The sequence below is a fragment of the Homo sapiens genome, chromosome 1, assembly GCF_000001405.40.
Source record: "Homo sapiens chromosome 1, GRCh38.p14 Primary Assembly".
Lineage (NCBI taxonomy): Eukaryota > Metazoa > Chordata > Mammalia > Primates > Hominidae > Homo > Homo sapiens.
In genome coordinates, this window is record NC_000001.11 from 176,662,954 (window position 1) to 176,687,672 (window position 24,719).

At 38.5% G+C, this 24,719-nt stretch overlaps 1 protein-coding gene across 7 annotated transcripts in view; it reads left to right on the forward strand.

The window, feature by feature from the left end:
- The window catches only part of PAPPA2 (pappalysin 2), a 382,427-nt gene that overhangs the window by 199,779 nt on the left and 157,929 nt on the right, over positions 1-24,719 (forward strand). For all 7 annotated transcript variants that reach the window (XM_047427180.1, XM_017002024.2, XM_017002023.2 and 4 more), the window contains one exon: positions 8,017-8,162. In XM_047427180.1, coding sequence (XP_047283136.1) covers positions 8,017-8,162 — 146 coding nt within the window. The remainder of the gene's footprint in view (positions 1-8,016; positions 8,163-24,719) is intronic.

The following is a 24,719-nucleotide window of genomic DNA, read 5'->3' on the forward strand; positions in this document are numbered from 1 at the left end:
ATTAAAATCAAACTATTATATCTCTTTGTTGTTTCTTGAAATTTTTGAGTCAAGAAAAGTATTTATTGAAGGTGCTGTTGCTATTAGCAGAAGCAGCCTTCACGCAGGGATCATCTCACTTGAAGTTGGGGCTAATCACTATATCCCTCTTCTGTGTCCATTTTGGAACTTGCCTTTGGGAGGTTCCAAAAGCACTAATGGAAGTTCCACACTACCCTTTGTCTTACCAGGCCAACTGTAGTTTGTGCACAGGAGAGTTTCATTTCTATTTTATTGTTATCAAAAACTTCCCATCATGGATTGACTTTAGGGCTTGAATGTAAGTGTGCTTTCTTCCTTTCTGCATTGTGGCATTGCCTCCATTCTGTTGCTCCTTTTAAGCAAAGTATACCTGCTCCTTAGACATAAGCCATGATTAGCCCCCTGCCAAGTCTGAAAGATCACACTTGCTTTCCTACATTATGACTTTTGAACTTTGTTTCTGGCTAAGTAGAGATTTGAAGCCATAGGTATTGTTATTCATAATAAAATTTATTGAATGTTTATGTGTGACACTATAAAGTGTCACATTTATGAAGATGTTATCCATTTTTTACCTGCCAATAACTGTATGAGGTGGGTTTCATGTAGTTATTTTCATTAGTTACTATAACTTTATATTTATATATTATTTACTATATTTTCATATAGTGACTTTCATTATTCCCATCTTACAGCTGAGGAAGCTGAGATACATTGATGGTAGGTGCCTTGCCAATGCCACATAGCCATTGAGTGGAGGAGGTGAGCCTAGAAACTAAGTTCTTCTGGTCTGAGAGCCTGTGTTCCTGACACACTGGCTCCCTTTTGACCATTTTCTCTCAAGTTCTCCTGGGGACCTCTCCCACTACACTTTTCTTTTGTGTGCTTTATATTTTGTCTTTCTAAGTATCTGTATGTGACGAGTTATCTATTTTTATCCTAATCTTCTAAATAAATTTTGCTATGTGGGTCTCTTGATATGGTGGGTAAAATATTGCCAAAAACTGGAGTGGTGAAATACACTCTTTTCCTCCTCTTGAGTCCATAATTCTGGCCTCAGGGTTTTTTAAAACAAATCTTTTCATTTGATACCATCTTTTAAAGCCAGATGTTCACTCTCTTTATGCTCTTTTATTTTCCAGTGGTATTACTTTGAAGTGAAAAGAGATGTATTAGTTTTTGATTCTTGCTGTAATAAGTTATTGCAAGCATAGTGACTTAAGATAACATGAATGTATTGTACTTCTGTAGGTCAGAAGTTTAACATAAATCTCACTAGGCTAAGATCAGGATGTCAACAAGGCTGCATGCCTTTGTGGAAGTTCTAGAGGACGATCTACTGCTTTGCTTTGTCCAGTTTCTGAAGGCTGCCTGAATTCCTTGGCTTTGGGCCCCTTCCTCCTTCTTCAAAGCCTGCATTGTAGCTGTCTCTGATCCTGTTTCCATCACTGTATCTCTTTCTCTGATGACACATAGGAAAAGTTCTTTGCTTTTAAGTACTTGTATGATTAGATTGGGTCCACTGGGATAATCCAGAATAATCTCCTCGTCTCAAAGCCTGTACTTTTAGTCAAATCTAAACAGTCCTTTTTGCCATGTAAGATGACATATTCCCAGCTTCCAGGGACTAGGACACGGACATCCTTGAGGGCATTATACTGACTACCTTAAAATATTATGACACTAGACTTTAAGTCCTTTCAGTCTCTGATTATTTCTTTTATTTCAACCTCAAGTTCTTACAACACAAATATTTCTAGAGAAAATTCCATTTTGCTTCTAGTAATATTCATTTCCACATGAATTAGCAAACGTGAGTTAATGTTTTGTGTATAATGTCTTGTCAGGTTTTCCATATTTGAATTTCAAGAAACAGATATATTCCTGGTTGATGATGTTCTGGTAATAATTATGTCTGGTCTCTTGTGTGGCCTTCAGAAGGGAAACAATATTCACCACTATGTCTCTTCTTTCTGGGGTCATCAGCAGTTGGTTGATTGTACTGAGGGGGTGGAGTGAAGGAGAGCAAGGAATGAGGGAGGAATTCTGCGTTTTCTACTTGTGTCATAGAAAGAGTATTAGAAGTGACACCAATTCAGAGAGGGACCAGGGAGGAGAAATGGGTGTGGGGAAGATTGTGAGCATTTTCTTAGAGATAAACTGAATATCCGCAGTCCACATAATGCTGTGGGCATGAATGAGCTCATACTACCATTAACAATCAAATTACATTAGCTCAATATGTAACTATAAAATCTTATCCTCATACAATGTACCTTTTGTAGTCTCCAGAAGGGTGTGCCTTTACAATTCATGCCCACCAGTTCTGTGGCTCTCCTGCTATTTACCATTGGACACTGGCAATGGTATTTATCTTGTCTGTGGACACTCAGCATTTCCAGATGATTCTCTGCCCTATTTCTCTGGGGAAAAGCTGGCCTTAGAGAGTTGGCGCCTGATGCAATCCAAGGCTGTAAAACTCTCAAGGGCCAGAATGGTGCTGACGTCCCTTAATTCTTGCCAGAAATGGAGAAAGCGGCCCTTATCCTCATCAGTACTTTGTTTTGTTATTAGGACTTAAAGTAGAACTGCTTGTCTATCCTGGATTTACAAATTTTTTTTATGAAGTTTAGTTTCTTCCTAAAAAGCTCAAAATCCAGTTTGTAAGATTAGGTAGAGGACAAAATGCCAATGTGTTCCTTCTCTTGTCCTTGATTTTTAAATCTTTCCATGGACACAGGCATATACTTTCTCTGTATTTAACCGAAACTCAACCCTTCTTGCAAATCTACTCATAGAAAAACAAGTCAACAGATTCACCAGCTGGAACATTATTTCAGATGCATTGAAATTCACTTTGTCTGAGTTTCTTTTGTACTCAAATAGAACCACCAATTACATTGACATGCTGACTTCAAGGTTTCTGTGCACAAACCAGGTAGAAATATTGAATTGCTAGGAAAAGAATAAGAATCTAATCTTAGAGGAGAGGTAGGAGTAGTTACATTTATGTTGGGGAGTTGTTCGAATAGTGACAGTGCTTTGAAGTTTAAGAATAGAAGGGCTCCCAATGGTGAGCATGGAGAGTGAGAAAAGAATGGACCACAAACAGAACCCTGGGAAATAACTTTTAAAAATTAGAACTGAAAAGAGGAACTCACAATGGAGACTGAGAATCGTTGGTCTCTAAAGCAGGAGGAGAACCAGGAAAGAGCACTGCAATGAAAGCAAAGAAAGTAGAGAGTTTTAGGAAGGAGAAATAACTAATAATATAAAAATGCAACAAGAGGTTCCAATAAGAGAATGATTTTTTAAAAAAATTTCCTGGGCAGAGAAACTTAAGCAGTCAATGACAACTTTAATGAAAGCAATTTTGATAAAGTGGTACAGACGAAAGCCAGATTATAATGGGATTAGGAGGTACATGGAAAAAAAGTGAATGGGAGATGAAAAAATTATTCCTTTAAGAAGTCTGAATTGGAAAGGAAGAAGAAAAATGAGAGGGTGTTAGCTAGGATTTTCTCAGAAAACCTCATCTTGTGGGATCGGGAAAAGGGAATACAAATAGGTAAGGAAGTAAATATATATGTGTGTGTGTGTGTGTGTGTGTGTGTGTGTGTGTGTGTGTGTGTGTGAGAGAGAGAGAGAGAGAGAAAGAGAGAGACCCAGTGACCCAGTGATAGAGTTCATGATGAATGGGCTTGATTATATCATCAAAGAAGGAGGTATGAGCATCTACTAAGAGTCATGAAGATAGGAAATTGAGGTGAGAGGAGCAAAAGAAGAATATTGAAAATTTCAAATTACCCCTGGAGAGGAGATGGCCATAAACAATTAAAAGTACAGACAAGTGGAACTGAAAATCTTAATGAGATTGGAAATGAAAAAGAAACAAATACATCTGAATAAGGGTGACAATGAGAATGGATGAGCAAAGGGAAGTGAGTGAAGATTATTAGAAATAGGGAAGTCAAGAATAAGACTGTGTTGGCCGGGTACCGTGGCTCACGCCTGTAATCCCAGCACTTTGGGAGGCCGAGGCGGGCAGATCATCTGAGGTCAGGAGTTCAAGACGAGCCTGACCAACATGGAGAAACCCTGTCTCTACTAAAAATACAAAATTAGCTGGGCATGGTGGCACATGCCTGTAATCCCAGCTACTCAGGAAGGCTGAGGCAGGAGAATCGCTTGAACCAGGGAGGTGGAGGTTGTGTTGAGCTGAGATCACGCCACTGAACTCCAGCTTGGGCCACAAAAGCAAAACTCGGTCTCAAAAAAAAAAAGAAAAAAAAAGAATAAGACTGTGTTTTCAGTGGATGCTTCACACAAATGTTGAAATTCCTCAGGCGATGATAAGAGGTGGAGTAAGGGGAGAGCCCAGGAATCAGGGGCTGGAGCTCTTTACAGAGTAACCAGAAAACAGAAAAATGAAAGGAAGTGGGGAGTATATGGGAATGAGTAGAGTTCCATGCACCTAAGAGCAAAAGGAATTTTACAGGAGCAGAGAAAACTATGTGTTTGAGGTTGCACCGAACAACCTGGAGAATGCTAGTTGGTGCTTCCGGGGGCCCACAAGTCCCAAGGTGTGGGCCCAGTGAATGGGGAGAGGGATCAGGTCAAAGGTGATATTCCCTTGAAGGAAGAGGCAGTGCAGTCAGGCTCCTCCTCTGGAGTGGGTTTGCTCTGACTGTGGGAAGTGGGGCTGTGGGTCCCAGTCTCAAGGTGCACATCCATCCTTTATGTCTTGTTTTCTACATGCCAATTTTTGATACTGATTCAACTTCCTTCAGACAGCAGACAGCTCAAGATCTTTTTCTTATTTCTGGCTTCCTTCTTGAATAATTCCTATCAATCTACAATAAGGCTATTTAACTGACTAATAAACTACAGCACAAAGAATCACTTTTCCTACACTTTTACTTTGTTTAGTTGGGAACCAAGCAGTAGTTGAAGTTTGCGTGTACATTTAGATACTGGGATGTGGCTGGAGAGCCAGCTGTCGGGGCATGGCAGAAGCCAGAGAGAATGCACTAAGGCTGGGAGGCAATGAAACACGGTAGACTGGAAACCTGGCAATGGCTAATCCCAAACTAGTAGGTGATGGTCATAGAATGGTGAAGCAGATGTGTACTCTCCACGGGGCATGTCAGAACTAACAAGCTTGAGCAATGGGGCAGAACAGCTTGATATGTCAGCTCCAAGGACAGCCTGTTTCTGAGACGATTTTTATAAAAACCAAGATATAACTTCGGTCACTCTGAGTCCTTCAGGGATACATATAGGTGAGTATCCTTATCTAGAGCATAGAGAGCATGAGGAAAGGTAGATCCTGGCAGAAATTAAGCAGGTTAATGCAGTTCATCCCCTTTTAATACAAAGTTCTGGTCAATGCATGCCCCTTTTGCGTTTCACTGCATTTATGTATGGCATTCTAGCTTCCCTTGAATATTAAGCTAATTTGAATGGCAAGTCTATCTCTTAATCATTTCTGAAGCAAGGTGCTAAGCTCTAAATTTGAAAATAATATCCATTTTTTTTCCTCATCCTAAGCCTATGAACCAGATTCTGGTCATATTGGTTGAGAAGCTAAGACAATATCTTCATTAGCTCCGATTAACTTTTGAAATGGTTACCTGTGTTGCAATAGACAGAGCATTCTGCATGTAAAGCAGACACAGTGACCTCTATGTGTTTACTCTCGTTGGTTTAGAGAAAAGTCTGGATAGTGGTCTTTGTTTCCAGCAAAATAAGGGTTTCTTCTATCAATTCAATTAATGACTCTTTCTAGCTTTTTAAAATATATTCTCTCCCTTATACTTGACGACATATATCTGTATCTCTGGGAAGTACAGGAGTCTGAGTAACCATACCCAGTTTGCCACCAGCATGACATAAATACTGTCATCTGGAAGGGTAATTTATGCGTGGAGAGAAGATTGGACAAGGAAGAAAAGGGAGATGAGGAGAACCAGCTAATGAGGTTGGTGTGGAGGAGGAGGCCCCTCGGAGGGTGCTCAAGATAAATTAGTGGAACTGGTGGGTTGAGGGAGGATGGGAGGATGGTGTCCAAGACTGGTAGATGGCAGGCAGAGAAGCCAGTAACACACAGATAGCCCAAGTAAGCCATGTCAGGAGCAGGGAGGTTGGAGAAGTGCCTGAGGAGAAGAGAGAGAAAGCTGTCAAGTTACCAACTCCCAATTTTAATTGGAACCCAAGAATAGCAACAGAGAAAGGATGTGGCTTTTCTTCCTTGGTACCCTGAGCTGAGCCCATGCTCAGTCTCTGATTCTCTCTTCCCCCTTCTTTTCTTTTCTTCTCTTTCTTTTTCTTTTCATTTCCTTCATTCTCTTTTCTCTTCCCTTCTCTCTCTTCTGGCCTATTGAAACATCTCCATGTTGAAGACTCACTTGATATCATCATCACCCCCAAACCATCAATTTATCAATAAAGGAAATTATAGTTATTTATAATAAAGGAGAAAATAAGGAGAATGTGACTAATATCTTGGGAAAACCAGGCAACAACTCAGAAAACATTGTGTCTTCAGGAAAGCAGCAGGAGAACTATCCCCCTGATCACATATGATATCATCTCATGGAGTTTGGGTGATTTCTTGTGGCTGAGAGCTAGTTTTCCAAGATATTATAAGTCAGTAAAAGATAGTATTTTAAAAGCCCTTTTCTCCTAAACATCTTTGTTTCTAAAGCAAGATCTTTTTTTGTCTTTCCTTTTATTCCTGTTTTTGGTTCTGTTCCAAAAAATAAATAAACAATCTTTGGGATCGCCCTTTCTCAGGTGCTTTTTGCCAGCACATCCTACACTTGGATGAAATAGATGGCATCAACAATCAGGAGGCAGAGCAAGCTAGAGGGGAAGGGTCATGCTGTCCTAACATGAGCTTCTAGGGTGGTAGATTTCAATGTCTGCAGCTTGTCTACTAGAATAGCATCAACAAAGCATAATCAGTAAAGGAAATTTCCAACCTATGTTGCCAGGCTGTCTGCCCAGCTGACGCTGTGATAGGAACATTCCTATCTCTGGAATGGCAGACCACGGCCACTGTGGGGAGCATCTAGTAAGTCTAAGGGACCATTGAGCTCTGGTTTGGTTGTTCCTTCTTAAAAAACACTTCAGTGAGAACAGCAAGGCCCTGTTTGCTTATGGTAAAGTTTTAAGTTTCACTGATGCTGAGAAGCTAAAGATCTTTGACTATATATGAGTTTAGAAACAGACCAAATGTTTGTTTCCTTTTTTATAAGCCACAAGTCATGTGTTTTTAATAGACCTTTAATTCTGTGCATCAATGCAAACATAATATTTCCTAGTGCTTTCAAAGTCACCAATAAACATACTAGGTATCATAAAGTAATTGGAGTAGGGTAGAGTTTCCATGGATTAAGGGAGTATAAAGAGAGATGTCTATACAATTGTTATGCCTTGCAGTAGCTTTATTATGTCCTTCCCTGCTTATAACTCATCTCATATTTTCCTCTTTTACTTTATGTTTTCTATCCTCTATTTCCTTTTTTCTTTTAAAAATAATGCTTGAAGTAGGCATATACTGGAAAAGAGATTGAACTGGAATTCAAGGATCATGCAGTGTGATGGAAGGAAAAGAAACTAAGAGTTGGAAGGCCTTCTTCACTATGGCCTGAGAATAATTCTCAAGGCAAAGAATTCATGGTATCATTAGATTTATCTTGAAGAAATAACCTGGGCATAGGGTGGGGAATTGAGTATGATGTCAAATATGGAGTATCCATACAAACATTTTAGTGTTTTAAAAAGTCATTATACTATTTATTGGAATAAGCATCCCAAATGTGTATTAGTGCCTTTTCTTCTGGTCTTCATGACAGGCTGGTCTCTGCCCCATGCCCCTCCAAAAGGTAATGCTGGCTGGGAGTGCCATTAGAATCTGATTAGGTCTGGCTCTGCTATTCTCTAAGTACCAATTCTTTGCTGTGACATTTTTTCATCTTGCATGCTCTCTAGGGCATACATGAGTGTGAAGGAGCTGAAGGAGGCCCTGCAGCTGAACAGTACTCACTTCCTCAACATCTACTTTGCCAGCTCAGTGCGGGAAGACCTTGCAGGTGCTGCCACCTGGCCTTGGGACAAGGACGCTGTCACTCACCTGGGTAAGTGAAATGAAGACCAAACATAGTAGGAAAAAAACAAAGAAGGCTGAAGGAAGCTTGCGAAAGTAAGTTTGGGGAAAAAAGAAAGACAGAGAAAAAGTGAATTTACACAGTGAATTAACTGCTTTGTGCTGAGAATGGCACTTAGTAGAGCCTGTCAAAATGTTTCAATATAGACAAGTAAGAGGTATTAGAACAAACAGTGGCAAATGCTCAGGATGTTCTAGACTGAATCTATAATTTAGATGCAAATAAATTGCTGGCATAGAATAAGATCATTTTAAGTCTTGCAGAGCCCCAAGTGGGGAACTATCAAAATATCCAGAAGGTGGCTGGACTGTGAAACCTGCTTTACATGATCACTGTTCTAGAAGACTGATGGGCTTCTTGTATGGTGTGGACTCCTGAGAAAAATCCCAGGAAATTCAAAAGGTGGGGCTTGCCTGCTCACCGGGGAAAAGAGTGGATACCTTAACACAAAGTGCAACTACTGAACACTTAAGAAAGACAATCCTATTCACAATAGCAAAGACTTGGAATCAACCCAAATGTCCAACAATGATAGACTGGATTAAGAAAGTGTGGCACATATACACCATGGAATACTATGCAGCCATAAAAAATGATGAGTTCATGTCCTTTGTAGGGACATGGATGAAATTGGAAATCATCATTCTCAGTAAACTATCGCAAGAACAAAAAATCAAACACCACATCTTCTCACTCATAGGTGGGAATTGAACAATGAGAACACATGGACACAGGAAGGGGAACATCACACTCTGGGGACTGTTGTGGGGTGGGGGGAGGGGGGAGGGATAGCTTTAGGAGATATACCTAACGCTAAATGACGAGTTAATGGGTGCAGCACACCAGCATGGCACATGTATACATATGTAACTAACCTGCACATTGTGCACATGTACCCTAAAACTTAAAGTATAATAATAATAAAATAAAAAAATAAAAAATAAAAAAAAGAAAGACAATCCTTTTTACAACGTCTTATTATTATAAAGGGAAATCTTACTGACCAAGCAAGAAGAGGGATTACATCCGTTTTATAAACATATGGATAAAGAGTAATTAATGAACATAATTAGTATACATTTCCAAAATGTTCTAGATAGCATTCTATAAAAATTTATTTTAAAATAAGTTACCAAAATTGAGAGTAATATTTTATGTTGGAAAAAGAATAGTTAGACTGACTGGAAAGAATTTTATAAATGATTTTTAAAAGGTACTGCAAAGTTGGTCTTCCTAGTAATCAAATAAGAAGCAGAGAGGAATAAATTAAAGAAATAGAACATAATGCTGTATATGTCAAGCACCTGGTCATAGTGAAGTCTAGAACATATCGAATTGACAATCATAGACAATATGAGCAAGTATTCAAAAGATAACCAGTGTTGTAGATTGGGGAAGGAGGAAGATGAGCAATGTGTTAGCGATAGACCAAAAAAAAAAAGAAAAGATTGCTGTTCAATGCTGTTCAAGTGTGAAACAGTGATGAAAATCCACAGAGTGAATCAGATTGAGATCCAAAAGGGTTATATATACCAGAAAATGGAGGCTATATGCAAATGTATATATACACATATATGCATAACAAATTAAACATGTAAGGATCCAAATTAAATGCTTTGCCAGCGTGCATAGCTGGGTTTCATTGGCTCTATAGTACCTGATTCAGTTTTAAAGCCCTGCAGTCCTTTTATCACTAAACTGTATTTTTAGTTCTCAGTACATGAGAAATCAGAAATTTGTGATGTTAGTGGTGGCCTGAGGCTACCAAGGCAAGAGCATTGCATGTGTTGATAACATATTATCAGGTTCCTCAAGTAAGGACCTGATATTTTCAGGGATCCAGTATAAACCAAAGAAGGCATTCAGATTTATCTACAATTACTACGAGTGAAAAACTAGGGAAAGAGAGGTTTCTGGGTGGGATGAGACATTTTGTTGGGCCTGTCAGAAAACAAATTTGTAAGTCATAGCCTGCACTTCATGGCTATTGGTTTCAGGAACAGTTCCAAAGGATTTTTGATACAGCTGACAGAAAGGGGCTGTAGATTTCAGTCATACATTTCCAAGATGGTCGGGTAAACTGGAGACACCTCTGTGCTTTCCAGATGAAAGCTAGTGTGTTTCATTCTAGCCTTCCTGGTAGCAATGGGTGGACTAGAAAGTCATATTCCTGTTCCTGTAGTCCATTTAATAGTGAGTATGGGTGTTTTGAGTTATGCTAATCAAAAGCAACAGTAGCAGAGGGGATATATAACACTGTAAGAAAATATCTCCAACTTGATGCACACTCCCATCACCAAGAATAACCTTTCTGGTGTATGTCTGTGGAGGTCCTGATAGCAAGGTTTACCCAGCAGTGGCTTCCATGAGGCCCAGGTCTATCAATAGGAACTGAATCTATTTGGTTAAAAGACCTTAAAAATTATCTTCCTGGCCATTATGGAGACAAATCATGACTTCTTGATAAGAATTGTTGGGCTGGGGCATACTATTGAATGTTTTCTAACTTTATTAGAATTGGGCATTAGCAAGACTCATTCAACTATAAAAATGGATAAAATACTTTAAAAATTATTTATTTGAAGACATCAGACTGGCTAAGGCAACAAGGACATGAGGAGTCCAATCCCTGAAAGAAGAAAAATGCATTGAAGTGAGTCCTGTATATAACTTAGTCTTTTTCCTTTCAGGGAAATTGCCACATTCTCAGTGGAAGACATAGAGGCAGAGCAGAGAGCAGCAGCCTAGAGCTTGCTTTGGTCTCAAGACAAAAATTAGAGTTCAGGTTTTCAGGGCAACTAAAACTTGAGAGACCAGGATCCTAGAGAAATGGAAATCACAAAAAGTAAGACTGATTTTCTGCTTGTGATTTTCTTTTAAGATATTTGTTATTTACTAAACTCACATTCTCAGGGACACTGGGCAAGAAAACACATAGAAAATAACTTCTAAGAGATTAAAAAGCTGAACAGTGATTTTAGGAGTCTCATAACAGAAGAGACAAAATTGGGAGTTGAGGCCTTGTCAAGGAGGAGGGGCTCTGAGACACCCTCTGTGCAAGGGTAAACAGAAGTAGTACAGCTTATACAAAGCCTAAAATCCAGCCTGAAACACTCTTTTAAAAACATTTCAATAGTTTTTTGGGGAACAGGTGGTGTTTGGTTACATGGACAAATTTTTTAGTGATGACTTCTGAGATTTTGGTGTACCCATCACCCAAGCAGTGTACACTGTACCAGTGTATAGTCTTTTATCCCTTGCCCTGCTCCCACACTTCCTCCTGAGTCCCCAAAGTTCTATTGTATCATTCTTATGTCTTTACATCCTAATAGTTTAGCTCCCACTTATAAGTGATAATATGTGATGTTTGGTTTCCCATTCCTGAGTTACTTCACTTAGAATAATGTTCTCCAGCTCCATCTAGGTTGCTGCAAATGCCATTATTTTATTCCTTTTTATGGCTGAGTAGTATTCTATGGTATACACATATACTGTATTTTCTTTTTCCACTCATTGATTAATGGACGTTTGGACTGGTTCCATATTGCTGCAATTGTGAATTGTGCTGCTATAAACATGTGTGCAAGTGTTTTTTTTTTTTTTTCTTTTCTCCATATAGTGACTTCTTTTCCTTTGGGTAGATACCCAGTAGTGGGATTGCTGGATCAAAAGGTAAATCTACTTTTAGTTCTTAAGGGATCTCCATACTGTTTTTTCATAGTAGTTGTGCTAGTTTACATTCACACCAGCAGTGTGAAAGTGTTCCCTTTTCACCACAGCCACATCAACATCTATTATTTTTTGATTTTTTAAAAAAATTATGGCCTTTCTTGCAGGAGTAATGTGGTATCTCATTGTGGTTTTGATATGCATTCCATCTATTTTTCTTTGTTTTTGTTGCATTTGCTTTTGGGTTCTTGGTCATGAACTCTTTGCCTAAGCCAATGTCTAGAGTTTTTCCAGTGTTATCTTCTAGAATTTTTATGTTTCCTCCTGAAACACTCTTAATCCTTGTTTGGAGGAAGTTTATCTGCCTCTATTCTAACTGCCTAGCAAAAGAAAGTTAAATATTCTTTGGAGAAAGACATAATCAAAAGCCTCTATGATTGTTCATGCACAGTGTCTAGCAATCAATAAAGAAATATCAACTATTTCAGGAGACAGGGTCAAATGATGATAAACCAAACAAACAAATCATACACAATAAAAATTATCCAGGTATTGGCATTATTGGGCACTGGCTTTAATTATGATTAATATGTAAAAATAGATGAAAATGCATAGTTTCTTCAGAGAACTGGAATCTCTAATAGGGGATCAAATGGAAATTTTAGAACTAAAAATAGATACCAGTAAGAAAAATTAAGAAATGAATAGATGGGTTTATGAACAGAAGAAAGAATTTAAGAACTAGACCATTGTAGAAAATTTACAAACTGAAGCTCTGAAAAATAAAGTGCTGTGAAAATATAGAAGAGATCTTAGGAAACATTTAAGACTCCATGAAAAATTTCTATTGTAAATTAGAGTTCTAGAAGAAGACAAACAAATTGTTGGCAGAAACAATATTCAAAGAGATAATGGCCGAGAATCTTGCAAACTGACAAAAGATATCAAACCACAGATTCTAGATATTTTATAAACTGCAAACAAGGTGAATAGGAAATATTTACAAAACACGAATCTGGCAACTGACTTGTATTTAGAAGATATACGGAACTCTCAAAACTCAACAGTAAAACAAACAAAAATATTTCAGTTAGAAATAGGCAAAGGCGTGAACAGACATTTTACTACAGATGATATACAGATGGAAAATAAATCTATGAAACAATGTTCAATAAAATTAATCATTAGAGAAGTGCAAATGAAACCACAGCAAGGTAACACTACAAACCCATCAGAAGAGCTAAAATAAAAAATAATGACAATACTAAATCCTGGTAAGGATACAGAAAAATGGGATCTCTCATACATTGATGGTGGGAAAGTGAAATGGCACAGCCACTCGAGAATACTTCAGCAATTTTCAATAAAACTAAACATACACTTGCCATATGATCCAGTAATTGGACTCCTGGTCATTAATCCTAGAGAAATTAAAATATATGTCCACTTAAAAAACCTGTACATGAATGAATCTTCATAGCAGCTTTCTATTTTCTATATAGTAGCCCCAAACTGGAAATGGCAAAAGTGTCCTTCAGTGCCGATTGCTTAAACTGTGTACATCGACACAATGAAATACTACTCAACGAAGTATTAATGCATGCACCAACTTGGATGGATCTCAAGGGCATTATGCTAAGTGAAAAAAAAAAAGCCAATCTCAAAACTTACATGGTGTAACATTTCACATTTGCAGTATTCTCAAAATGGTAAAATTCTAGAGATAAAGAACAAACTAGTGATTTCCAGGGTTTAAGAATGAGGAAGCACTACATGGTTGGAGGTTGAGAAAAGTATAGATGTATGTGTGACATAAAGGATAGCAGGTGGGACATGTTAATAGTGATAGAACAGTTCAGTATCTTGACTGTGGTGGTGATTACACAAATGTATATATGTGATAAATTGCATACAACTACACACACACACACACACACACAACTGCATGTAAAAACTGGTGAAATCTGATAGACATCTATGATCTCTATAAATAAGCAAGGTATTTTGCATATAGCAGGTGCTCTGTGAGTGATCATTGAATGAAGGTATAGTTGAGTAAATGTATCAAATTTAAATGGTTTCAAGAAATGCTTAAATTGTCTCATGAATCACTGACTTATAATGGAATTGCAAAAGAAACAAGGGATATTTATATTTTATTCTTAATCCTTTGAGAAATAACTGTACTACCCTACAACATGATTATTAATGTGCTTTTCAGAAGTAAAAAACTAGACTGAACAGCTCACAGATATGATTCAATAGGAAATTGTTTGTGTTCTTATTTATTTCTTCTTGTTCAATCATAACTGATTAAACAAAGGAACTGTATTGACTAAAATCAGGTGTAGAGTAGTACAGATAGCTGGCATAACGTGATAGAGGAAGACATTCAGAATTTTCTAAATAGAGCCTTTTTGAGACTCAAGATGAAATTATCTGTTTGTGTCAGCATGTAAAGGCCCTACATTTTCAGGGTCTGCTGAGTGGACTAGCAGATAAGCACACTAGCCTGGAAGTTTGAAGACTGAATCCAATTTCTGACTATCAATGGCTTAAGTCACTATGTGGAAAGACCAAGGTAATTTGTCATCTTGATTTGCCATCAACACCATTTCTGCCCTTTCGTATGATTTTGTGCTTTCAATGCTGTGTTAACACAAAGAAAAATCTTTTTACAGGTGGATCAATGAGTGGGATCCTCTTGAGCTCTAATATTCAGTAGTTTGAACATTTTTAGCCATGGTAAACAATGCCTGAATTGAAAACATATCTTTAAAAGCAGAACACTTAAGTTAGTCGTAAACCAGCCCTTTTATACCTTGGATACCATACTCATTGTCATTGATACCATACTCATTGTCATTGGATACCTTACTCATTGGATACCATACTCATTGTCATCGATTCATTCAAAGAAAAACTTGGATACCATACTCATTGTCTTGGTACCATACTCATTGTCATTGATTCATTGGATACCATACTCATTGTCATTGATTCATTCAAAGAAAAACTTGACTGTGTTTTGTGGCAATGCCATAGATAGAATAATGAAAACAGTCTGCCCTTAAGGGGTGCACAGCATGATTGGGAGACAGATATGTCATACAGATTTGTAATACTATGTGATGGCAACATACATGAAGTTAGGCAGTAACATGGAAAGGAAAGTGCCTAATTGTGCTGAAAGCATTAACGAAGAGTTTCCAGAGGGGCTGAAGCTTGAGATGGGAATTGAAGGATAAGCAGGAGTTTGCTTGGCAGACACAGGAGAGCATTCCAGAGTGGAAGAACTGGCAGATGGCAGGGTTCAGCACACACTTAGAAGTGGGTGTGCTTTGCATGACCACAGCAGTGCTCTTCAAAATTACTTTTTCTCTCGTACCTGTGAAGAGACTCAAAATACTCAGCAAACCACACATTCTTAGAGTAACACCTAAACATCCAATAATAGGTTTAATAGTAGCAAAGAGAGTAATTGGGGCATATAATTTTATTTTAAACTACTATCATTTAAAAATAAATCTTAAATTTACTTTCGTAAGTGTCTTCTCTGTACCATACCAATTTGAAAATCACCATCATTTATTTAAAAAAAATCATGGTCATTTACTTTTTTTTTTTTAAAGGAGCATGGAAAGTTTTTATTGTTCTTGCCAAATCTTACAGCAATTTAATGTATATGAGAAAACAAAATACCACCTCTTCTATTACTGTTAAACATCAGCCTAAGAAGCCTGTTTTTCTTTTTGTAATGTTTTTCCTTTACTATCTGTTTCTGGAAAAAGTGCTAATATGTTTACATTTCAAATATTTTTTTTTTTTTCCTGCTGGGAGTCAGGCCAGTAAGAGGAAAGCAAAATGGCAGGAGAAGCAAATAGTGATGTAGGCAGAATCAATGACACTGCTAGGAATAAAAACTTTATTTCTCATATGCCTACTAAGTACTATCAGAAGAGATGCAATAATAAAAACACTGTCTAGGTTCTCAAAAGCCTAAAATCCAGTAAAAGGAGGAGAAAAGTATATAAATGTGTGTATGTTAAAAATGTAAAATAAACTAAAAAAATATATACAGAATGTATCTTGAAAGATAAAATTGATTTTGATCGGTAGAGATTTGAAGAAGAGAATTGTGAGCACAAGGAAAGAATAGGTTGTATGAAGCATGAGAAATTATTAGGTAAGAGTTGGAGGTCTAACTGACTAAAACATTGGAATATATACATATATTTATATATATGGAACAGGAAAAAGAAGATAGAAAGATAGGTTGGAAACTCCTGCACTCTCATGGTAAACATAAATTTTGATTTTCTCATACTCCTCTGACTGACTCTTTCAATCTTCTTACTGAGTTGTTCTTCTGACGTTCCCTGAGTTTTATCCTTGACCCAACATTCAAGACGTTCTCTATGGTCACGTAGACTAATCTCCTTTATGTGTGATGCCATCAACCTACATCCTGATAACTCTCAAATGTGTTTCTCTAGTTTGAATGACTAAACCCGTCTCCTAAGATCTACATCCATGTTTCCAACTACTTAACAGGTGTCTCATCTCAAATACCCCCAAATACCCCAAAATTAACATGTTGCAACTTGCTTCTTCTCTAGATTTAGTGATACTATCATTTTTCTGTTATGAAAGTGGGTACCTTATTAAACATACTCTTTGTACAATGAAGGAAATTGATCTAATATAATGTTTATTAAAGCAATTCAATAAGCATAGGAGACCATCTTCTAAGCTTTGCAACCCCCTTCTCTTTTCACAGGGCATGAAACCAGCAGCCACTTGACCCAAGGGCAGCTGGTCTATGTGCTAAGCAGTTGTCTGCAAGGAAGGCTGGTGCAAAACTCTGAGCAAGGGGGAAAAATAATGACCAGGCCAGCGAGATAATATCAGGAAATGAAACTTGAAATGTGGGAAAGGTATTGAGCAAATGACTCAGAAGTCAGAGAGAAGTACATTAGCAGAAGTCATTAGCAAAAGTAGAAAGAGACAAAGAGTGAAAGGAGAGTGGTTGAGTTGCATAAATAGAGATGTACTGGAGTTGAGTAAAGCAATTCCTATGGCCCACTATAGATCTCTAAACCTAGCAAATGCCTGATGTTCAATAGGGACTCCATAGATTTGTGTGGATTTTCTCACTTGGAAAGAGATTATGTGGCCCCTAGAGCTTTCTGACTTTTCAAGCATATGACTCTGAGAAAAGAAGGAAGTATAGAAGGAATGGATACTGGGTAAGACATTAAAAGTAATCGGGTCTAAATTAGTGTAAAAATCAAAAGGATAAACATAACAGAAAAATTTGGAGATAGACTCTTCAATACTTATGCAATACAGATAAAGGCAAAATAAAAGATGCCTCCAAGTGACTGCACTTGAATAGTCTGAGATAAAGCTAAATCTTCAGTAACATTATGGAAGTTTGGAGGAGGAGTTGGTTGGAGATGATGTGGATGAGTTTGGTTTTATAAATAGCGAGTGTTCATTTTTTTTTGTCTCTGTAAATTTGTGTTTCTATTTCACTTCTATAGAATTTTATACTATTGTAACATATACATATATTTTTTCAGTCTAGTTGGTTACCTATTTCTCAGCTAAAAACTTGAATACAACAACTCTTTTGTGATCACGTTTTGTTAAACTAGACTTTTTATTTTGAGATATTATACATTCACATGTAATTGTAAGAAACAATACAAAAACATTCTGTATAACCTTTACCCATTTCCCCTAACGGTAGCATCTTGTAAAACAATAGTACAATCTCACAAACAGGATATCAGCATTGAAACTAACCTAAGTTATAAAGCGTTAAAAATCGCTTCTCAGTTGAGTTATCATTTGCAATGATTACTCTTCTACAATTGATCAAAACAATATTTTTAGATGTTGGTTAATCACTAGTAAAAACAAATACTTGGGAAATGTGTATTTTAAGGAGATAAATGTGGCTCCCCCAACCCCAAAGTAGTTCTTGTGTCTGTGGATGAATAGTAATTATTGCTGTAATGAGAAAAGATTTAACATAAATTATATTGCTTTGTTTCTCATTTATAGCTGTAAGTGCTAAGAAACTTTGTTCGAATAAATAAGGAGATGGGGAAAAGAGGAGTTCTGTTTGATTGACTGAGTGGATGGTGGTGCCAAGGTGGAAAATGTAGGAAAAGGAAAAGCAAATGGGGAGCCAGTTTGTTTTTGGATATGTTGAGCTAGGGGTCTCTAAAATCAACTAAGAAGGGGCTTCCATGGAAGAGGGAGGGGGAATAGGTATCAGGGGGTGTATTGGAAACCAAAAGACAGAGAGTTTTGAGAAAGTCCCCTGGGGTCCACAGCTACTGCAGAGAGATGAAATCAGCACACGGGCATTTTGGCCAAGTTAGAGAGAAGAATCACTGTGGCACAGAAGCTACATATTTCCGAGTGTTCTGGCTTGCCTGCCACATTTCCTAATTGTTCTAGAGAATGTCTGTACCACCACAGAGCAGTGAAAGCACCAAGTCTCTCACTGAGGGCAGCATGCCCTCAGGTGCATGCGACTTGAGGACCCTGTGGGAGGAAACTTGAACCTGGATCATGGGGGTTTAAACATAAGGGATCTTCAGATGAGTCCAGATGAAGTGATTCTTGACTGGGGGAAAAGAAAATATTTGAATGATGGAGTGGGTTATGGCTTCACATGGATAGGAACAAATGGGACCTGGGCTTTTGTTTCCTCATATGTAAAATGGGGATAATAAGCATGAGGAAGAATGTCCGGCATACAGCAAGAGTTCAATAAATATGAGCTTTTGTACCAGTAGTAGAAGCTCCAAATATGGTGTATCTGTGGTTGCCCTTCCTGGTTGTGCCTTCAGCCTCACACCACATCTCCAATATATAAAATTTTTCAGTGCCCTGGAAAGATCTTGGCTCTTTTAAAAGGGAAAGAAATGTGTTTTTAGGAATGCATCTGCTTGCAATGGTAGAACTGCTTGTAAGAAGCAGAGGGAGCTTCCTTATAAATTAGAGAAGGAAAGGGTAAGCAATGGTGGGTGGTCTGGGGAGGTGAGCGGTCTGTGAATGTTCTGGAGCCCAGTGGACTGCGGCAGAGTAGCTCTCACAGGGTTGGTACGGGTAGGACCACTCCCTGGGAGAAGGCAAAGCAGCAGCAGTATAGGTGGCAGAAACTAGCTTGGAGGTGAGATATCCCTTACTTATGCAGAACTTTCACAGGGGGTCTTCCAGGACAGCCTTCAGCTTTCTTTCAACCAAACAGTTAGATATTGAGATTAAAGTTTACGTCAGTTGTGATACATTCATGTGAATGAAGCCTCAGGTGCTAAGAACTATCCACTGATATAGTAAGTGGGAAGTCTTTGGTAACGTCAACCAGATTGTTTCTGTGGAGTCTGGGTGCAGAAACCAGAGTGGGACAGGTAGAGGAACCCACAGAAGGTGAAGAGGGGGATGTGGATCTTTCAAGAAGTTTGGCTGTGAAGGCATAAAGCACTAGTGTGGAGAAGGTGATGCTTAGAGGGTGATGAAGAAAGTTTTGGATTGAAAGAGACTTGAGCATGGTTACAGTCTACAACCTGATGGACTGTACCTTGTCATTGACAAGGTAGTAGCTTTTGTTATTTTTGTTTGTTTTTATTGTTATGGATCTTAATATTTAATTTTTAAAAATTTTAATTATGGGTACATAATAGTTGTACATATTTATGGGGTACATGTAATGTCTTGATGCAGGCATACAATGTGTGGTGATCAGTTATTTCTTTGTGTTAAGAACATTGTATTCTTTTAGTTATTTAAAAATATCCAATAAATTATTAGCTATAAAAAATAAAGATTCACTTCTCTTTCTAGCTCCAGTTATTATTATTATTTTTTAATCGTCTCCATTTCTTTCTCTCCCTTTGCCTACCAGTCCACCTACACCACTTTTTCTTTCCTTGCCCTGACTTGAAGTGCTCCTTCCTTGGACCCCAAGTCACAGTTTTATAACTTTGTCTGCTCATTGTGGACAGCATGTTTTGAGGAGCAGAGTTTCACCAGTCACTGGAAGTAATTACATAGGCACATGCAGACCAGCCCTCAACCTCCCCGTTTTATGGGCATATAATATTCAGCCCTAAAAATTTTACAGAACTGTTTTAGAGTTTTTCAACCAATATCCTTTTCTCAAGTTGCCCAAAGCTATTTATTTATTTATTTATTTATTTATTTATTTATTTATTTATTTATTTGCTGGAAGTGGCTTTGGGAATCATTCTCTTTACCATGAGCCACTTGGGCATTCATGTGTTAAAGCCTGGAAAAGCCAGTAGGAACTTAGAAATATAGAATCACTTTGGAAGCTTGGCTGTTTACTACTAAGATTTCATCTTCTAATTAGCAGATTCTTTCTTTTCTTCCCCCACACCATCCCCTAGACCACACAACAATTCTCTTATTGTTTTGGCTTGTCTTTTGTAATCAAGGCTGAAAGATCTTCTAAGAAGGCATGTGTTCTCCTGCTGCCAGTCCATTAAGGAACAGCTGTACCACACATGGCCCCCAGTTGCTAAATCCTGGGAGCCCATTCATATCGTTTTCCATGTACAAGTTGATGGTATTGGGACGCATTGGGTTCAAGTCTTGGCATACACATTCAGGTATGCAAGAAATGTAACTTACTTTATTCTTCTGTCATTAAACTTTCTTTCTATTTTGAGCCCCCATGCTGATGAGCAGTAGTAATTTACTCTCAGTCAATTATGCCTGTTATGCTTGGGGCTGTACCTAACTGTGGAGATGGCTTATATGTGCCAAGATCACAGGGAAAATGATCCATTTTTGTCCTTGGTCACCAGTTGATGCTGGTTACCTGAGATGACCCTGGTTCTCATCACAGGGACACCCTCAGGGAATTTCTGGCAGGCTCTGTTGCCCTTCCTATTTAGCTCTGGTGGTCAGTGGTTCCTCTCTAGGGCTAAGCCACTTAGGAATCTATTACCATAATGAGGCAAGATCCCTCTGCTCTCAGATCATACAAACCTATTTTGGGTTTTTATCCCTTTCCCAGCTCGAAAGTCAAGGTACAATCAACTTTATTGGACCCACTACCATCTATTCATTCCCATTATTTCCCTTTGGTCTCTTTCCTCTTCTTTCAGCTTGGGAGAATCTTTTCTAAGCTAATGTGGTAGTGGTCGTGTTGGTAGTATGAGAGCAAGGGTCCCTATCTTCAATCCATTCACCATGCGGGCTAAACCATGGATGGAATCGTCTCAGGACCCAGGTGGCAGAGGCTTAGAAAACCCCACAGCCAAAAAAGGATTTCTTGTTTCCTTGCTTTTCATTCTGTTGTATTACTTCCTAATGAGGTTAATACATGTAGAAAAGTCTGGCATTGTGAATTGAGTGGAGTAAGAAGAAGAGAAGCATGGAACCAGTGGGGTAAAATGTTAGTATTTCCAAATTTTTTCCATCCTTTTACACTAGTACTTTAAAGCTTCCCCTGAGTAAGTATTCCTGGTCTTGTTATCAGTCCGTCGACAGCCTTGCAGGATGGGCGTTGGGGAAGTGAGAGAAGGTGGGGGAGCCTGAAAGTGCCTCAGAGTGGAGACTGAAGTGTCCTGGTATAGTTGAAAATATATGTGTGCATTTCTTTTTTCTTCCTGTTTCAATGTGTCAGGCAAGAGCAGGAACACCAAAGAAGGGATTCAACTGTAAGGGATGGAATCTCGTCCCTACCCCCCCACTCCCCATTCTACTATCATATTTTATCTGTCATCTGTGTTTCAGTTTTGTCCTCCAATATAAGGAATGATAAAAATTAATGGTTTTGAGTATAAAAAATGATAATCATATTCCCCATAACTAGAGAGTTGGAAGGGAACGATTATTGGCACTATAGAACAAAGACATCTTGTGTAAATCTGATCTAACAATAATTTGAGGTCTATGAAGAATTATGCCAACAGCCCCAATTCAGTAAGTTTTCCTTTCCTCTTGCAATTAGCAGCCTAATTTCAGACTGCTAGGAATAAGTTTTGAACCCTAATGTGTTGTCTATGAAGAGAATGGGCACTTGTCTGTTTGCAGCCCTGTCCAAGTCTTGCTTGTCTTCTGGATGCCTGCGGTTGTCAGGATCAGAAAAACATGAAGACAAAGCATGAGCGACTTAGAGGAAAATCAGAGCTCCTTGATGAGGTTGTTCTCCTACTGTGCCTGGCAATGCCTGGTTTCACTCTGGGAGGTCTGTCCAATTTATGGTCAGGCCCCACCTTCCTTTTTTTTTTTTGTAATGAATGAAGGTTAGGTGGGAGCCAATGAAGGTTACAGGCAAATGAACGTGTACTGCCAGACTGCACATAGAATAATAATATTGACAAGTGGTCTAATATATATTTTGAGTTTCTTTGTTCTGGGAAATAAGCTAAATGCTTATTTATTTGCCTTACTACTTTAATCTTCATGACAATCCTTTGAGGTAGGAACTCTTGTTATTACCATTAAACAGATCAGTAAACAGCCTTGAGAGCTTCTAAGGAGTGTTTCCCCATATCAGGATCAATACTTTTACAGTGCCAGCCAAAGAAGGAGCCCTGGCCTCTCCAAAGGCTACCTTGTGAGAGAGAAGCTTCTGCCCATTGGTGCAGGTACCCATGTGTAACCATGCGGAGTCTGACCTATGTAACTGGAAGAAAGTGTGTGTGCAGATTCTAGCTTCAGAAGATAATGCTGGTTCATTTGAATATTAATATAAAATGGTAATGACAAGTAGCATTTCTTATTATTGTTTCATTATTCCTACGATGTTGTCCCTGAGAAAGATTGCAGCTTTCTCTGAAAGCAGGGGAATGCACAGTCCCTCCGGCCCCCTCCTCCCCACCAGGGGAAGACTTAAATGCTGATGATGGCAGGAAGGGATTGCCACTCTAACCACTCAGTTTTTATTTATTATTTATTATCACATCTTGTTCCTTTTAATGAAAAGAAATGCTTGCATTCCTCTTATTAAATTTTGGGCAACACATCTTTATGCCTCACTCCAGCTTTGGCATGAGTACATGTGTATTTGTAACTTTTATTAAAACATGAAAGAACTTTTCTAAACTAAATCACCAAATAAATTTAATGTCTTTCCTCACCCCTACATCGATGTGAGTGTGTGTGTGTCTCAGTGAGTAATGAAAACCCACTCCTTAATAATGTGAGTATGTGTGTCTGTGAGTGATTAAAACTCATTTCCCTAATAACATCACAAGTTTGTTTTGGTTGGAATAAAGGGTGAGTGGGAAGAACAGTGTGAGACCCCTCTGTGTGTCTGTGAGAGTGGATGAAGGGTGCAAACTGGTTGTATTAGTCCGTTCTCACGCTGCTTTGAAGAAATACCTGAGGCTGGGTAATTTATTAAGGGAGGGTGTTTAATTGACTAACAGTTCAGTACGGTTTGGGGGTCCTCAGGAAACTTACAATTATGGTGGAAGATACCTCTTCACAGTGGGGCAGGAAAGAAAATGAGTGCCAGTATGGGAAATGCCAGACACTTATAAAACTATGAGATCTCTTGAGACTTAACTCATTGTCACGAGAACAGCATAAGGGAAACTGCCCCCATGATTCAATTACCTCCACCTGGTCCCACTCTTGACATGTGGGGATTATGGGATTATGGGGTTTACAATTCAAAATGAGATTTGGGGTGGGGACACAGCCAAACTATATCACCATTGGAGAGGGAGTGTGGATTAAAGGTTGGCGAATCTGGGTCACTTGGAAATCTGCAGCAGGTCTGAGAGTAGGATGGCTGGCTTCTTACTGCCAGCTTTCCCCTTTCCCTCATGCTGCTGAGAGATGGGAGTCTTGAAACACAAACTGCAAGGCAGAGGCAGTGACAGTCCAGGACAATACAGATTCCTTCACATGTGTTCATGACTATCCCTCAAAGCCTGCCTGCATGTTAGCTCTGAGGGTCTGGGAATACAGATGGGAAGAAATCTTAGTGATAAGCCAATCTACCCCCTCATTTTACAGATGAAGAGATTAGGGGAAAGGTTGAACAGCCAAGGCCATGGAGCAAGTGAGGATCAGCTAATGCTCCACACTCCAAGTTCTTCTAGTTCTAGTCCAGAGGGATAATTTTATAATTTTGTGTTCTAGCAGACATAGAATTACCATAAGAGGTCTAGGACCTTGGGATTTTTGTTCTCAACATGTGTTGGTGTGCACAACACTCATCCTGAAATTAGAGCAATATTTTGTTCTATATTTTCTATATTTCTATATTTTGTGCAATCTCCTAGTTAACACACATGTAGTTACTGAACCCATTGCAGTGCCTTCTCATATAAATGAGTTTTTAGCATAAGTACATCTCTTCGCAATTGAAAATATAGCTTGCAAATGTGTGTTAAAATTATGTTTTTAGTGAAAATGTAAGTGTTGTTTGGTTAAAACTTTATTCTTCTGTGTTGGGAATGTGCACCAAGAGTGTTACACTGGAGAACCCTGGCCAATTGTCCTGGGTATGGAGGGGATTTGCTGGGAGTGTTGAGGGCTTGCATTTTTGTGCTTCTTCTTCTAGTTATAAATAAGCTGGTTTATTGAAAGATGGCTGTTGCAAAATATTTTTAGATTTGGAAACATCTCATTTGGGGTTGAGGTAGAGACTTCTGCTGGTTGATGAGAAGCCCAATATTATGATGACCACCCCCATATTCTCAAGTGTTTTCAGTCCACACTCCTGGTCATCCCTCCTTTCTTGGCATATGTTGATTTTGCCATCCTTTCTTCCAAGAACCATCTTTCTTTTCATCTATATTTTCTTTATCTATAATTGAAGGAGATCACAAAAGGACCTGGGCCTGTCTGGCC